This window comes from Homo sapiens, chromosome 11, assembly GCF_000001405.40.
Source record: "Homo sapiens chromosome 11, GRCh38.p14 Primary Assembly".
Lineage (NCBI taxonomy): Eukaryota > Metazoa > Chordata > Mammalia > Primates > Hominidae > Homo > Homo sapiens.
The window spans coordinates 107833997-107850111 of NC_000011.10; the positions used below are offsets into that span (position 1 = coordinate 107833997).

At 43.3% G+C, this 16115-nt stretch overlaps 1 protein-coding gene across 2 annotated transcripts in view, besides 3 other annotated features; it reads right to left on the minus strand.

Moving 5' to 3' along the window:
• The window catches only part of SLC35F2 (solute carrier family 35 member F2), a 67797-nt gene that overhangs the window by 43006 nt on the left and 8676 nt on the right, over positions 1-16115 (minus strand). The window lies entirely within an intron of this gene.
• Positions 6185-7384: an enhancer, noted in NCBI's record as "P300/CBP strongly-dependent group 1 enhancer chr11:107710907-107712106 (GRCh37/hg19 assembly coordinates)". NCBI's record gives its function as "activates an origin of replication core promoter dependent on BRD2, BRD4, P300/CBP, MED14 and CDK7 cofactors, with strong dependence on P300/CBP, by STARR-seq in HCT116 cells {active_cell/tissue: HCT116}" and the evidence as "EXISTENCE:reporter gene assay evidence [ECO:0000049][PMID:35650434]".
• Positions 6680-6729: an enhancer, noted in NCBI's record as "active region_5474". NCBI's record gives its function as "activates an Ori minimal core promoter by ATAC-STARR-seq in GM12878 lymphoblastoid cells {active_cell/tissue: GM12878}" and the evidence as "EXISTENCE:reporter gene assay evidence [ECO:0000049][PMID:35858748]".
• Positions 7931-7990: a silencer, noted in NCBI's record as "silent region_3872". NCBI's record gives its function as "represses an Ori minimal core promoter by ATAC-STARR-seq in GM12878 lymphoblastoid cells {active_cell/tissue: GM12878}" and the evidence as "EXISTENCE:reporter gene assay evidence [ECO:0000049][PMID:35858748]".

Below are 16115 nucleotides of genomic sequence, written 5' to 3' on the forward strand. Positions count from 1 at the left end.
CGGACACGGACTCAAGGCTTTATGTTGTTATCTCTGTGTAAAATCCTGGGAACTTCATACATTGTTTGTTTCAGTACCTTATCAGTTAATTGGGCTCCTTTGAAATGCTGAGGATCTACTTACACAGGTTAACTCCTTGCGGAAGGGGATTGGGTAAGGAGCCCTTAGTGTCTTGTAAATTAAGGGGTCAGTTGGAGTTTGTCCGGCTTTCCCAGCTAGAGAGTCTTATTTACAGGAGAAGCAAGGCTAGGTGATTAAAGAGACAAACAGGGAAAATTTAAAGTAGCGAGTTAGAGTAAAAACAAGGTTAGGCATTACAAAATAAATTCCAAATAGAGGATGCATCCAAACGTTGACGAAAATGAATGAAGCGGCTGGGCGCGGTGGCTCACCCCTGTAATCCCAGCACTTTGGGAGGCTAAGGTGGGTGGATCACTTGAGGTCAGGAGTTCGAGAACAGCCTGGCCAACATGGTGAAACCCCATCTCTACTAAAAATACAAAATTAGCCGGGTGTGGTGGCGCATGTCTGTAAACCCAGCTACTTGGGAGGCTGAGGCAGGAGAATCACTTGAACCCAGGAGGCGGAGGTTGCAGTGAGCCGAGATCGCGCTATTGCACTCCACCCTAGGTGACAAGAGTGAAACTCCATCTCAAAGAAAAATAAAATGAATGAAGCTACAAAAACACAGGCTAGATTTCCACAGCCGTAAAAATACAGGCTAATGCGATTTCTCTCTATAAATGCCCAAACTTTATCTGATCATATATACTCATATCATATATACTCATATCTAAGTATATTTTTCCATACATTTTATAATACATAACATATTGCATGACTACAGATTCAGTTATTATGGAATTATAATTATTATACATTTAAGTTGGAATTCTGTATGCAAAAATATCCTAACACACTTCAATCATATTGTCCACACTACTGAAATATACAAAATATACAACTCCTGTAATACCTGACAACTGTAAACCATCATAATATCATCCCATAGCCAATAAGATAAAAGCTACCAATATCAAGTCCTGTAGAAAATGAGAGAGAGTTACGCAGAAAATCAAACGGGTGCTAGTTAAAGAGGCCAACAATCAATGCCTTAAATCATTAACACGCACACTCACATGCAAAAACAGAAAAGCGTGGAGCAAGAGCAAACAGCCACTTAAGGTATTTGAAGGTAACTACACCTACAGGCTGAACACAGTACACCTGGTAAACTGCAGCCTTGTCTGCGGGAGGTCATCTATCTCAAAACAATCAAATCAGAGGTTATACCTGTGTCTTTTTTCAAGAGAGGACTTTGCAGTAGCACACCACTTCAAGATTTTTACCTAGAGACTGGAATGTGTGCGAATTTCCCTTCCCTGCTTAGTGGAAATAGTCCGAACCTGGAAGGCAGCTTCAATAGCCCACAGTGACTTTTTTTTTTTCCTTTTTTTGAGACAGGGTCAGGTTTCTGTCGCCCAAACTGGAGCGCAGTGGCATAATCAGGGTTCATTGCAGCCTCCTGGGCTCAAGTGATTTTCCCACCTCAGCCCCCAAGTAACTGGGACTACAGGTGTACACCACCATGCCCAGCTAATTTTTTTATTTTTAGTAGAGACAGGGTTTCACCATGTTCCCCACACTGGTCTGGAACTCCTGGACTCAAGCGATCTGCCTGCCTCAGCCTCCCAAACACAATGACTCTTATTACCATCTCCTTAATGGTACCCAATTCAATTCAGCATGTTTTTTTTAGATCCTAACACTGTGTCAAGCTATGGGAGCAGAGAAACGGAGCCCCTGTCCTCATGGAATTCACAATACAGCAGTGAAGAAGAATAGTAAAGCAACAATTCCAAATGTGGTGAGGGTGAACAAAGAGATGTACAAGGTAGGATGAGATCTAACCAAATCTGGGATTCATGGAAAGCCTTATTCATAAGGTCTTGACTTGAAGAATAAAGACAAGTTGTCTGGGTCAAGAGAAGGGCTATAGGAATTGTCATCCCAGCAAAGCGGACAGCATTGTAAATTCTCCAGCATGAATGGAGCCTGAACATGCAGCTCATCCAAAGGAATCAGTATTTTTCTAATCTGTGGTATAACCTAAACAGTCAGTAGCAATTATTGGTTTATTATTTCAAACACTGAGTATGTGTAAAAGATTGTGGGTGAAAGTTGAGTAAAGGTTTCCTTGACATTTTATGAATTATCACTTACATTTTTTCTTTTTCTTTTTTGTTTCCCTGCTGTTCATGAGCTCTAGAAAGCTGTAGAACTATTGCTTACATTTTCACCAACATCTAGGTGTTCTTATTTCTTTGTGCTCTAAAGCTTTTTTTTTGTCTGGTGGGGGGCATCATTTCTGGGTTCTACCACTAAATGTAGGTGGAAGAATACTGGTCCTCCAAAAGTGTCCACACTCTCTCCCTCACCCCTGAACCTGTGAATAGGTTACCTTACAAGGCAAAAGGGACTTCTGTAGATGTGGATTAACCAGGTAGCCCCAATCTAATCACATGAGACTTTAAAAGCAAAAACGTTTCCCAGCTGTAGTCAGAAGGAGCTATAACTACAGAAGGCTCAGAGAGATGCAACGTTGCTAGCTTTGAAGTCACAAGCCAAGGAAGGCAGGCAGCTTCCAGAAGGTGGAAAAGGCCAGGAATTGATTCTCCCCTAAAACCTCCAGAAAAGAATGCAACACCTGCAACACTTTGATTTTTAGCCCGGGAAGATGAATGTTGGCTTTCTGACCTACAGAACAGTAAGATATTAAATTGGTGTTGTTTTAAACCACTAAATTGGTGGTAATTTGTTATGACAGCAATAGAAAACGAATATACAAAGTCAACAATGCATGTGATACTTTAAAACAACACTTGAATCATAATGTTATAACTATTTACATTCATCTCAGCGAATTTCCTTAGTAACAAAATAATCACATCAAATAAAGAGTCTATTAAAAAACTGCAGGCAAAGCTGATTGGGAGCTACCTTGGATTGAAACACTTTCATCGTTTGCCAGGGAGAAAATAAAACCAGGCCATCAAGCCAGAAACTGCTGAACTAGTTCCATGGAAACCAACAAAAATTGAAAGTATAAATCCAGTGATTTATTCTTATGCATTATGTCCCATGTGACTTAGTGAAGAACACAGGGGACACATTAGTACTGTCCCATCCCCTACATAATAAAAGACAGGGAAGTGCTAGCCACTGATGAGCTCTTACGTATATTAACATACTGCATGTTCATACAACACTATATATGTATCATTCTGGCAGCATTTAAGTCTTTTAACCAAGTTTATGTGCCAAATAAATAGCAGCACTAGATTAAAATCCAAATATGATTCCAAAGCCTGTGTTCTTTACATTCTGCCATGCTAAAAAACTGAAATAAGGCCAGGAGCAGCAGCTCATGCCTGTAATCCCAGCACTTTGGGAGGCCGAGGCAGGTGGATCACTTGAGGTCAGGAGTTCGAAACCAGCCTGGCCAACATGGAGAAGCCCTGTCTCTACTAAAAAAAAAAAAAAAAAAATTAGCTGGGCATGGTTGCACAGACCTGTAATCCCAGCTACTCGGGAGGCTGACGCAGGAGAATCAGTTGAACCTGGGAGGCAGAGGTAGCAGTGAGCTGGGATGGCACCACTGCACTCCAGCCTGGGCGACAGAGTGAGAGTTTGTCTCAAAATAAAAATAAAAAAGTAAATTAATTGTGGGAATAAAGATAGTAAGAAAGGCACCCACTACCAGAATGATGACCTCTAAATTCCTATGACATTTTGGTTGCAATCCTCTTTTTCCATTTTCTATATTCTGCCTGTAGTGTTTTATATGTTCCACTTGCTTTACTAGATTCTAAATGCAGACATCGTGTTATGGATTTTTTGCCACCCACCCACCCCCACCTTATACACACATAGTCTCACAATATCTAGTAATAGTAATGGTAATAATAATTATGACATCTAACACTTATTGAGTGTATACTATATACCAAGCGCTAATTGATTTAATCCTCCCAACAATCCTGAGATGGGTACCATTATTACTGCTATTTACAGATAACAGAAATGGAGGCACAGAGATGTTAAGTAACTTGCCCAATATCACACAACTAGCAAATGGCAGAACCTGGAGACCAACCCAAGCAGTGTGGCTCCAGAGGCTGAGCTCATAACCACTGTTACACTGCAAGTACACTACTTGCATTTATTAGGGATTCATAAAACCTTTCTTACCTCAACAAAAGTGAAGTGGCTTAATAAAAATAAATGTGTGTGGGTGCCATACTAAGTACTTATATATGATGTTTCTTTTCGTTTCTTTTCTTTTGAGATGGAGTTTTGCTTTTGTCACCCAGGCTGGAGTACAACGGCGTACTCTCGGCTCACTGCAACCTCCACCTCCTGGGTTCAAGCGATTCTCCTGACTCAGCCTCCCGAGTAGCTGGGATTACAGGCGCCCGCCACCACGCCCAGCTAATTTTTGTATTTTTCGTAGAGATGGGGTTTCACCATGTTGGCCAGGCTGGTCTTGAACTCCTGACCTCAGGTGATCTGCCCATCTCGGCCTCCCAAAGTGCTGGGATTACAGGCGTGAGCCACTTTGCCCGGCCCTCTTTTTTTTTTTTTTTTTTTTTGAGACAGTCTTGCTCTGTCCCCCAGGCTGGAGTGCAGTGGCGCTATCTCATCTCACTGCAACCTCTGCCTCCTGGGTTCAAGCGATTCTCCTGCCTCAGCCTCCCAAGTAGCTGGGACTACAGGCGTGCACCTCCATGCCTGGCTTATTTTCATATTTTTAGTAGAGATGAGGTTTCGCCATATTGCCCAAGCTGGTCTCGAACTCCTGACCTCAGGTGATCTGCCCATCTCGGCCTCCCAAAGTGCTGGGATTACAGGCATGAGCCACCACACCTGGCCGATAAGTTTCTCTTAAATATCACAAAAACTCTTGTGAGATAGAGATTATTAGTACCATTATACTGTTGAAAAATAGTTGTAACAGTTTCAGCTGTTCAGAAGTAACTTTTCCAAGATCAGAAAATTAGTAAGTCTACATTTTTCCCGTTCCATACACTACTTCCCTGACAACAATAAAATATACCATATGTAATACTGACAATTATGATACCATACAGGGAGATCAATTGGTACAAATTACCCTGGCTCTGGCTGGACGCAGTGACTCACTCCTGTATTCCCAGCACTTTGGGAGGCCAAGATGTGGGGATCACTTGAGGTCAGGAGTTCAAGACCAGCCTGGCCAACATGGTGAAACCCCGTCTCTACTAAAAACATGAAAATTAGCTGGGCGTCATGGCACATGCTTGTAATCCCAGCTACTCAAGAGGCTGAGGTGGGAGGATCACTTGAACCCAGGAGGCAGAGGTTACAGTGAGCAGAGATCACACCACTGCACTCCAGCCTGAACAATGGGGCAAGACACCGTTTCAAAAAAAGAAAAAGAAAACATATTACCCTGCCTCTCTAACAAAGGGTACTGATTAGCCAAACCCATATGGTTATATGTTCTACAATTATTTTAATAAGGGGTGTTCTGATAAAAATAAGGGAAAATATAAAATCCATGTATGATATCCTTCTCTTTGTCATCTGGCTTTCATTGGCTGAAAGGAGAAAGCGTGAAACACATTTTCTTTTTGAGACGGAGTTTCGCTCTTGTAGCCCAGGATGGATTGCAATGGTGCGATCTCGGCTCATCGCAACCTCTGCCTCCTGGGTTCAAGCGATTCTCTTGCCTCAGCCTCCTAAGTAGCTGGGATTACAGGCATGCGCCACCACGCCTGGCTAATTTTGTATTTTTAGTAGATATGGGGTTTCTGCATGTTAGTCAGGCTGGTCTCAAACTCCCCACCTCAGGTGATCCCCCTGCCTTGGCCTCCTAAAGTGCTGGGATTACAGGTGTAAGCCACCGTGCCCAACCTGAAACACATTTTCATATCAGCTATTCTCTTTGGATATGGGTCAGAGGAACTTAAGTCTATTGCCTAGATTAGGGGGAAGGGGGCAAAATAAAGAGGGCAGCATTCAACTGTGGGCAATATATGGAGTATGTGGCCTCTGCCTCCAGGATCCTCCCTCCCCACAACTCTTCTGTGAGAAAAATTCTAAGAGGTGCACAAACATGGACACACTCCAAAAGACACAGAGGAGCTCCAGGAGGGCTGAAAAGGTGGGTGCTGGGGTGGGAGGCAGGTAGGATCAGGAAGCATAGGATTAGGGTTGGTAATAAACGTGCTGCCATTTCACAAGTCTGGATTGCAAGAGAGTACATCCCTGAGACAGGCATACAACCCTCCCTCTGCCCATCCCAGTCTGGCACAGGGACTGAGCACAAACAAACCCTGTTCTCAACAGGCAGCCAAGAAGCCACATAAAATGTTCAATTCTTAACACTGCCTGCCCATTGAGGCAGAACAGAAGGTTCTGAAGGACGATTCTCTTTAACTATTGTAAAAACTAGATTTCCCTCATTGCGGATTATCAAAACAAAAATCGCTTTCAACACTTGAGGGGTTTGTTCATTTTGTGTTTTGTGTGATCTAAATTGTCCAATGCAATCCTCAGATGAAGATAATCAACTGGCATGCAGCTGGAAGAATGAAGCCAACAGCAAACGCAATGCACAAAGGCTTACACAGAATCCTGCTGTGGTTTGGACTCCTGGCTCCTGCTGCTTCTCTGGTCTCTCTGTGGTTTGGCAGCGTAACCCTCCATGATTCTGTAAAGTAATAAATCCTCTTTTTTTTCTTTCCTATGCCAGTGGTGAGCTGGACACCACCAGTACCTCTAACAACTGACCTACTACACTCGTCACACACCAATCAGGCACCTGAAGAAAACAGGAGTCTGTGACTAATCTAGAAAGCTCGTGGAGACCTGGCCCAGTGAGGGAAGCGGAGGCGGCGAGGAGATTTCCTATGAGTCATGTCATCCCTTCTAGTCTTTCAACACCCTACAGGCCCCAAACCAGAAAAACTGTCATACGCCTCCCTTAAACTAGCTTCAACTTCTCCTAATTTAATCCAGACAACTCTGAATAGGCTCAAAAACTTTTCAACTTCCACTACCACACAAGAACGAGGATTATCGGGGAACCTGATGCAAGCCCAAAATTTTGTCAGTCTCAGGTGGGATCTTTAAATCCGTTAAGTTGCAATGTGTATAGAGCAATCTGTTTAACAGGAAAATAATATGGAAAAGGTGGGTATTTCACAGAACAGCAGCACTTCACAGAAGTACACTAAGGCCGGCCGGGTGTGGCAGCTCATGCCTGTAATCCCAGCACTTTGGGAGGCCAAGGCAGGTGGATCACCTGAGGTCAGGGGTTCAAGACCAGCCTGACCAACATGGTGAAACCCTGTCTCTACTAAAAATACAAAAATTAGCCAAGTGTGGTGGTGCAGACCTGTAATCCCAACTCCTCAGGAGGCTGAGGCAGGATAATTGCTTGAATCCAGGAGGCGGAGGCCACAGTGAGCGGAGACTGTGCCACTGCACTCCAGCCTAGACGAAAGAGACTCCAACTCAAAAAAAAAAAAAAAAAAAAGTACACTAAAGCCAATAAACATAGACAGAGACCCAACTTCATTAGGGATCAGGCATATGTAAATTAAGATGTTATTTTACATTCATTTGACCATCAAAAATTTTAAAGCCTGGCCGGGCGCAGTGGCTCACACTTGTAATCCCAGCATTTTGGAAGGATGAGGCAGGTGGATCAGTTGAGGCCAGAAGTTCAAAACCAGCCTAGCCAACATGGCAAAACCCTGTCTCTACTAAAAATACAAAAATTAAGGCCGAGGCGAGCGGATCATGAGGTCAGGAGTTCGAAACCAGTCTGGCCAACATAGTGAAACCCCGTTTCTACTAAAAATACACAAAAGATTAGCCGGGCGTGGTGGTGTGCACCTGTAATCCCAGCTACTCGGGAGGCTGAGGCAGGAGAATTGCGTGAACCCAGGAGGTGGAGGTTGCAGTGAGCTGAGATCGTGCCACTGCACTCCAGCCTAGGTGAAAGAACAAGACTTCGTCTCAAAAAAAAAGAAAAATAAAGAAAAATAAAAAATAAAAATAAAAATACAAAAATTAGCTGGGCGTGGTGGTGTGCCTATAACCCCAGCTACTCAGGAGGCTGAGGCACAAGAATCACTTGAAACTGGGAGGCAGTGAGGCAAGATTGCGCCACTACACTCCAGCCTGGGCGACAGAGTGAGACTCCGTCTCACAAAAAAAAAAAAAAAAAAAAAAAAAAAATTAAAGCTTGACTGGAAGTTGTTTTACAGGATTTCTCATATACAGCTGGTGGAAGTGGAAAAAAAATTTTTAATTTTTTTATTTTTTGAGCCAGAGTCTCACTCTGTTGCCAGGCTGAAGTGCAGTAGCATGATGTCAACTCACTGCAACCTCCGCCTCCTGGGTTCAAGCAGTTCTCATGCCTCAGCCTCCCAAGTAGCTGGGATTACAGGAAATGTGCCACCATACCCCTCTAATTAAAAATAAAATTTTTTAATACCGCCTCACTCTGTCACCCAGGCTGGAATGCAGTGGCGCAATCTCAGCTCACTGCAACCTCCACCTCTTGGGCTCAAGCGATCCTCCCACCTCAGCCTGCCCAGTAGCTGGGACTACAGGTGTGTACCGCCATACCTGGCTAATTTAGGAGTGGAAATTGGTACGACTGCTTTGGAAAACAGTTTGGCATTATTTTATGAAGTCTAACAATCACCTGCCCTATAAACCAGCAATTCTGCTTCTAGATATATGTATATGTGCATGTCTGTGAATGAAAGAAGCCCTTTACACATGATCAACAGGAGATCTGCATAAGACTGTTTCTAGAAGTCTGTATACAATAGCAAAAAACCCGGAAAAAACCCAAATGCCCATCAACAGCATGAATGAATAAAGTGTGGTATATTCACAGGAAAGAATATTACAAAGAGTCAAAGTGAGTGTTTGTATACAGCATCAGCACCTGCAACAATATGAATTAATTTTATCAACGTGATATAAGGGGATATAAGTCTCACCAGATTATAGAGCATGATATCCTTTTTATAAAGTCAAACATGATAATAAAAGCATACTTTTTAGAAATACAGAGGTACAAAGCAATATTAAAATGAGAGCAAAGGAAGAGTGAAAGGAAAATTCCAGATTGTGACTATCTTTGGTCTAGGTACATGTAAATTCTAGCTTTAGGACTGGTGATGCGTTTACGGGAACTTACTATATTAAAAAAGCAATTGAGGCTGGCCAGGCACAGTGGCTGATGCCTGTAATCCCAGCACTTTGGGAGGCCGAAGTGGGCAGATCACCTGAGGTCGGGAGTTCAAGACCAGACTGACCAACATGGAGAAACCCCATCTCTACTAAAACTACAAAATTAGCTGGGCTAATCCCAGCTACTCGGGAGGCGGAGGCAGGAGAATCGCTTGAACCCAAGAGGTGGAGATTACAGTGAGCCAAGATCGCACCATTGCACTCCAGCCTGGGCAACAAAAGCGAAACTTTGTCTCAAAAAAAAAAAAAAATTAATTGAGGCTGAGCAGAGTGGCTCACGCCTATAATCCCAGCACTTTGGGAGGCCAAGGTGGGAGGATCATTTGAGCCAGGTGTTCAAGATCAGCCTGGGCAAAATAGCAAGACCCCATTTCTACAAAAATTTTTTTAAAATTAGGTCTAGAGATGCACCCCTGTAGTCCTAGCTACTCTGGAGGCCAAGGCAGGAGGATCACTTGAGTTCAAGGCTGCAGTGAACTATGATCACACCATGGCACTCTAGCCTGGGTGACAAAGTGAGACTCTGTATCTTAAAAAAAAAAAAAAAAAAAAAAATATATATATATATATATATATATATATATATATATATATGTATATTAATTAAGCCATTCATGAGCCCACAATGAGAGTGTGTCATAGGCCAGTGATTATGATTAATCCATTTCCATGCAACTAGGGTCTAAAAAATAAATAATGCTCCCAGAAGATGCATTCTATTTATCTGACTTTATATACTCTTTGCCATCCCTAGAGATACAAATAATCCAGAACAGGCCTAGGGATAGACTGCCCAAGGTCTGTTTTTTGTTTGTTGCCCTATCGCAAAAGACAGAAAGGTACAGTGAGTAAGAGCACAGGCTCTGGGGGCCAGACTGCCTGAGGGGGAAGCCTGGTTGCATTCCTTACTACTGTGTGACTAACACTGTTAGGCAAAATTACCTCACCTCTCCGTGCTCCAACTTTCACATCTGTGAAATGGCACTAGCCATTATAGTATTATAATACCTGCCGCAGAAAGTTATTATAAGGGCCAGCCACGGTGGCTCCCGCCTATAATCCCAGCACTTTGGGAGGCCGAGGCAGACGGATCACCTAAGGTCAGGAGTTTGAGATCAGCCTGGCCAACATGGTGAAATCTCTCTACTAAAAATACAAAAATTAGCCGGGCCTGGTGGCATGCACCTGTAATCCCAGCTACTCAGGAGGCGGAAGCAGAATCGCTTGAACCCGGGAGGCGGAAGTTGCAGTGAACTGAGATCGCCCCACTGCACTCCAGCCTGGGTGACAGAGTCAGACTCCTTCTCCAATAAATAAATAAATAAATAAATAAATAAATAAATAAATAAATAAATAAAGTTATTGTAAGAATTACACAGGCCGGGCGCGGTGGCTCACGCCTGTAATCCCAGCACTTTGGGAGGCCAAAGCGGGCGGATCACAAGGTCAGGAGATCGAGACCATCCTGGCTAACATGGTGAAACCCCATCTCTACTAAAAATACAAAAAAAATTAGCCAGGCGTGGTGGCGGGCACCTGTAGTCCCAGCTACTCGGGAGGCTAAGGCAGGAGAATGGCGTGAACCCGGGAGGCAGAGCTTGCAGTGAGCCGAGATCACGTCACGGCACTCCAGCCTGGGCAACAGAGCGAGACTCCATCTCAAGAAAAAAAAAAAAAAAAAGAATTACATGAGTTAATTCACCCTGAGATCCCAGAATAGTGTGGTTGCTCAGTGCACAAAGTAAGCCTTACTCAACAAATGTTATTATTATTTTTATTTCTTGCTTCATATCACAGTGAAAAGCTTAGGAAATGCTCTTCCCCCAAGTATATCCTAAACACTTCTGGAGTAGGAATATCCCCACAATTCTCTGGGAAGATCTACTGCACCCATGCAGCACAACACCATCCTCCTTAGTAAGGCTGTGTTAGACTGAATAAACAGAATCTGTTTTTTCCTTAAGTACCCTTACATTTTTAAGAAATGACTAGAAGGTTCACACTTGTAATCCCAGCACTTTGGGAGGCCAAGGCGGGCAGATCATCTGAGCCCAGGAGTTCAAGACCAGCCCGGGCAACATGGCAAAACCCAGCTACTCGGGAGGCTGAGGCTGGAGGATTGCTTGAGCCTAGGAAGTCGAAGCTGCAGGGAGCCATGTTTGTGCCACTGCACTCCAGCCTGGGTGACAAAGTGAGACCCCATCTCCAAAAAACAAGAAAGGAAAAAGAAATGACTAGAAAGAAGTTTTGGATTTACCTGTGGTTTTTCATGGAATCTCTCTGTGTATCATTAACATAAATAACCAAGTTTTTGTGACACATCACTTGTTGGATGGCTTTCAATAACATAGGCTCTGGCTGGGCACGGTGGCTCATGCCTGTAATCCCAGCACTTTGGGAGGCTAAGACAGGCGGATCACTTCAGGTCAGGAGTTCAAGACCAGCCTGGCCAACATGGTAAAACCCCATCTCTACTAAAAATACAAAAATTAGCTGGGCGTGGTGGTGTGCACCTGTAATCCACGCTACTCAGGAGGCTGAGCCAGGAGAATTGCTTGAACCCAGGAGGCAGAGGTTGCAGTGTGCCAAGATCGCGCCGTTGCACTCCAGCCTGGGCGACAGACTGAGATTCTGTCATAAATAAATAAATAAATAAATAAATAAATAAATAAATAACATAGGCTCCTGTCATTATCCAAAATAAACAGCTCAAAATCTCTGGATTCAAAGCTTTTATAATTTATAAAAATGAAAACCATTCAAATCTTTATTTGGGGTCTATTTATACTTTGACTACAAGCAATTCTAAGAAACTGAGTTATCTGGTTTCTACGGTGTTAATACAGTAGAAATCATAATTTAGAAAGAACACAGGGTTCCAGAGATATGATTGGTAACAGAAAAAAAAAAATCACATGTGACAACCTGGGAGAAAAAAGGCTGAAAAAAATCAGACAAATAATCCATATCAACGCCCATGAACGTATTGTTGCCTCTCAGCAGAAAAAAGTGAATGATGATGATCCTGAATCATGAAGAAAACATGATACCACGATAAAGGTACTGTTTATCAAAAGAGTAGTCTCATATATTTGTCTTAAATATGCCATGAAAATTTTTAAGTAATTTTTTTTTTCTTGGCAAAATCTCCAGGATTAGTTGCAAATGGACCCAATAAGTAACTAAATGGCTTGGCCTACCCTAAGACAGTTGTTCAGTACAAACCAATTAATCCTCAAAGAATTGCTGCCAAAATTATAAATAAATGAATTAGCAGAAGTTAACAATCCATTACATAAATAGTGTCATTCAACTAGATTTAAAAGTGAATTTTAGGCTGGGAGCAGTGGCTCAAGCATGTAATCCCAGCACTTTGGGAGGCCAAGGTGGGTGGATCACTTGAGGTCAGGAGTTCAAGGCCAGCCTGGCCAACACGGTCAAACCCTCTCTCTACAAAAATACAAAACTTAGCTGGCATGGTGGCGGGCGCCTGTAATCCCAGCTACTCAGGAGGCTGAGGCAGGAGAATCGCTTGAACCCGGGAGGCGGAGGCTGCAGTGAGCCAAGATCATGCCACTGCACTCCAGCCTGAGTGTCAGAGCGAGACTCTGTCTCAAAAAAAAAAAAAAAGTGAATTTTAATGCTTAAAAGAATGAGTTTTAAATTATCTGGAAAATTAACCTGTGTGAAATGATTTGTTCTCTCTGATGATCTTCAGTAAATAATGGCATAGGTTTTCATAGCTTTTCTTTTACAGATAGGGACTTACCCTGTCGCCCAGGCTAGAGTGCAGTGGAGTGCCTTTGAAATACTGGACTCACAATCTCAAGTGATCCTCCTGCTTCAGCCTTCCAAGTAGCTAGGATTATAGGCCTACACCACTGCACATGGCTAATATTCTATTTTTTATTTTTTTGTAGAGACAGGAGTCTCGCTTTGTTGCCCAGGCTGGTCTTGAACTCCTGAGCTCCAGAAAGTTTCCTGTCTTGGTGTTCCAAAGTGCTGGGATCACACCCATGAGCAACCTCACGCAGTCTACTACAGCTTTTTCATAAAGGTACCAAAACTTGCCTACACAAGCAATTTCCTGGGGAGGCAATTCACTTCTTCCACAAATGTGGCTACCTTCAGAAATAATCTCTGAAAGCTATTCAGAAATAGCCTAATTTTTATTTCAGTCTTAACTCATACATATCATGGGAGGAATTGCTACCATTTCAGATCTGTGCCAGGCATAAAGTACTGCAGGAACTTCAAAGATGAATTATCATCTCTGTCCTTAAAAAGGCACTCTCCCAGGCAAGTGATAATTATACTTAACATTACAATATGAGAAGTGCAATGATGAGGTAGGAACAGGTACACAGAGGGGCACCCAACTGAAAATGTGTGTCAGGAGGGACAGAGGAAACAGGGAAGAAGATTTCCTAAGTTGGTGCTAACAGTGAAAGCAATCCCAGGAGGGAACTACAGGTGCAAAGGCGCAGGTATGGTGTGCACAAGGGAATCACCAGCAGATCAGTGTCTCTGAACCAAGTGCCAAGTGAGAGAGGGACATTCTGGGAGGTGAGCCTGGAGAGGGAAGTGGGCCAGTGATGGAAAGCCTCCTACCTCATGTCGAGAAGACTGAACTCTCACAAAATGACAAGTGCCAAATGATTCCATTTATATGAAGTATCTAGAGAAGTCAAATTCATAGAGACAGAAAGTAGAACTGTAGTGGCCAGGGGCTGGGGAGGGGGAGTGCAGAGTTATTATTTGAAATGTGCAGAGTTTGGGATAATAAACAAGTTCTGGAAACAGATATGGTGATGATTGCACAGTATTACAAATGTACTTAATCCCCCTGAATGATACACATAAAAATGGCTAAAATGGTACATTTTATGTTATGCATATTTTACCACAATAAAAAAGAAAACTTAAAAAAAGTATTATGTTCAGGTAAAGAGGAAGAAGAAAAAGGAGAGAAGGGTGAGGAGAGGAGGAGGGGCAGCAGTTTGAGCTCTAACCAATAAACAGTGGCTTTCAGATTTGTTTTAGCTGCAGAGCCCTTTCTTCACACAGCATTGGTATAGACTTAATATTTGTCTCCTCAAAATTCATATGTTGAAATTTAATCCCTAATGTGATACTATTTGGAGGTGGGGCCTCTGGGAGATGATAAGGTCATGAAGGTGGAGTCTACATAAATGGGATTAGTGTCCTTACAAAAGGGACTCCAGGGAGCTCCCAAATCCTTTTTACCATGTGAGGACACAGAAAGAAAACAGCTGACTATGAACCAAAGGACACCAAACCTGCAGGCACCTTGGTCTCAGACCTCCCAGCCTCCAGACTGTGAGAAATAAGTGTCTTTGGCTTGGAAGTTATCCAGTGTACAGTATTATTGTTATTAATCTGGCATAAAAGCCCAACTATAAAACGATCAATAGCAGCACACCCTGGTGGGTGCCAGAGGCCAGCCCAGAAGCCCACCAGCTCCTATCCCCTACTTGTTTCCCATGGTGAACCCTAAGGAACCTCCAGGGAACCCCAAGAGCTCCTCCGGTTTGCAAACCACTAGGGTAGGTGATGGGAAGAATCCCAAAAGGTTTTCAGCCTGAGCATAATGCAGTGAGATTTCTTTCTTTTTTTCTTTTAATTTTTTTGAGTAAACTAGTCATATCACATGAGATTTTTGAAAGAGTAAAGCAGCTCTGGATTTTAGAAACAAATGAAACTATCTCAGCTCTGCCTCTCACCAGCCAAGTGTCCTGGGTAAGTTACTTACCTGCTCTGTCTGTCAAAACAGAATAAAAAACCTATTTTTGTAGGATTGTCATGAGGATTGATGAAATATAAGTAGGGTGCCTGATACACAGCGAATTCTCATTTGATGACAGCCATTAATACTCTTTCGTTTTATTAGGCATCACTCTGACTTCTGTGTAGCGAGATGATTGGGGTCGGGGATAGATGGAGGCATGGATGGAAGCTATTACAACAGTCTAAGTGAGAGATGATAAAGGCTTGAACTGAATTAGTCACAATAGGGATTGAGGCCAGGTGCGGTGGCTCACGTCTGTAATCCCAGCACTTTGGGAGGCCGAGGTGGGCAGATCACCTGAAGTCAGGAGTTTGAGACCAGCCTGGCCAACATGGTGAAACCCCGTCTCTACTAAAAATGCAAAAACTAGCCAGGCTTGGTGGCAGGCACCTGTAATTCCAGCTACTCAGGAGGCTGAGGCAGGAGAATCGCTTGAACCTGGGAGGCGAAAGTTGCAGTGAGCTGAGATTGCGCCACTGCACTCCAGCCTGGGCGACAGAGCAAGACTCCGTTTTGGGAAAAAAAAAAAAAAAAAAAGACAATAGGGATTGAAGGGGGAGGTGGACTCTAGGACTATTCTGGAAGCGCTGTCAAGACAGGGAATAAGCACTGACTTCCTTCAAGTCAACCAGAAGAAAGAAGCAAACAAAAGAAGGAATAACCCAAAGGTTGTCTAGAACTGGTCTAGGGGAAGAAGGAGACTACAGCCTGGGGCAGAAAGAGGAACCAGAGGCCCAGTGGAGGGCATGCTGGAGAAAAGCTTTTCAATTCCAGTCTTACCTCTCCCTACAGTACATGTCTGCCCCTTTAACAACTCCCTCCAGTGTTGAGAAATTAATAAAACAGGTTCAGGCTGTCCAGCCAGCAATCATTCCTCACCTACCCTCTCCAAGCTCCTTGGGCTAATGGGCTGTAACCTAGAGAGACTGCCTCCTCCTTCTTTCAGAGCAGCTGATAGGAATAGCTTAATGGACAGTCACTGAACAAC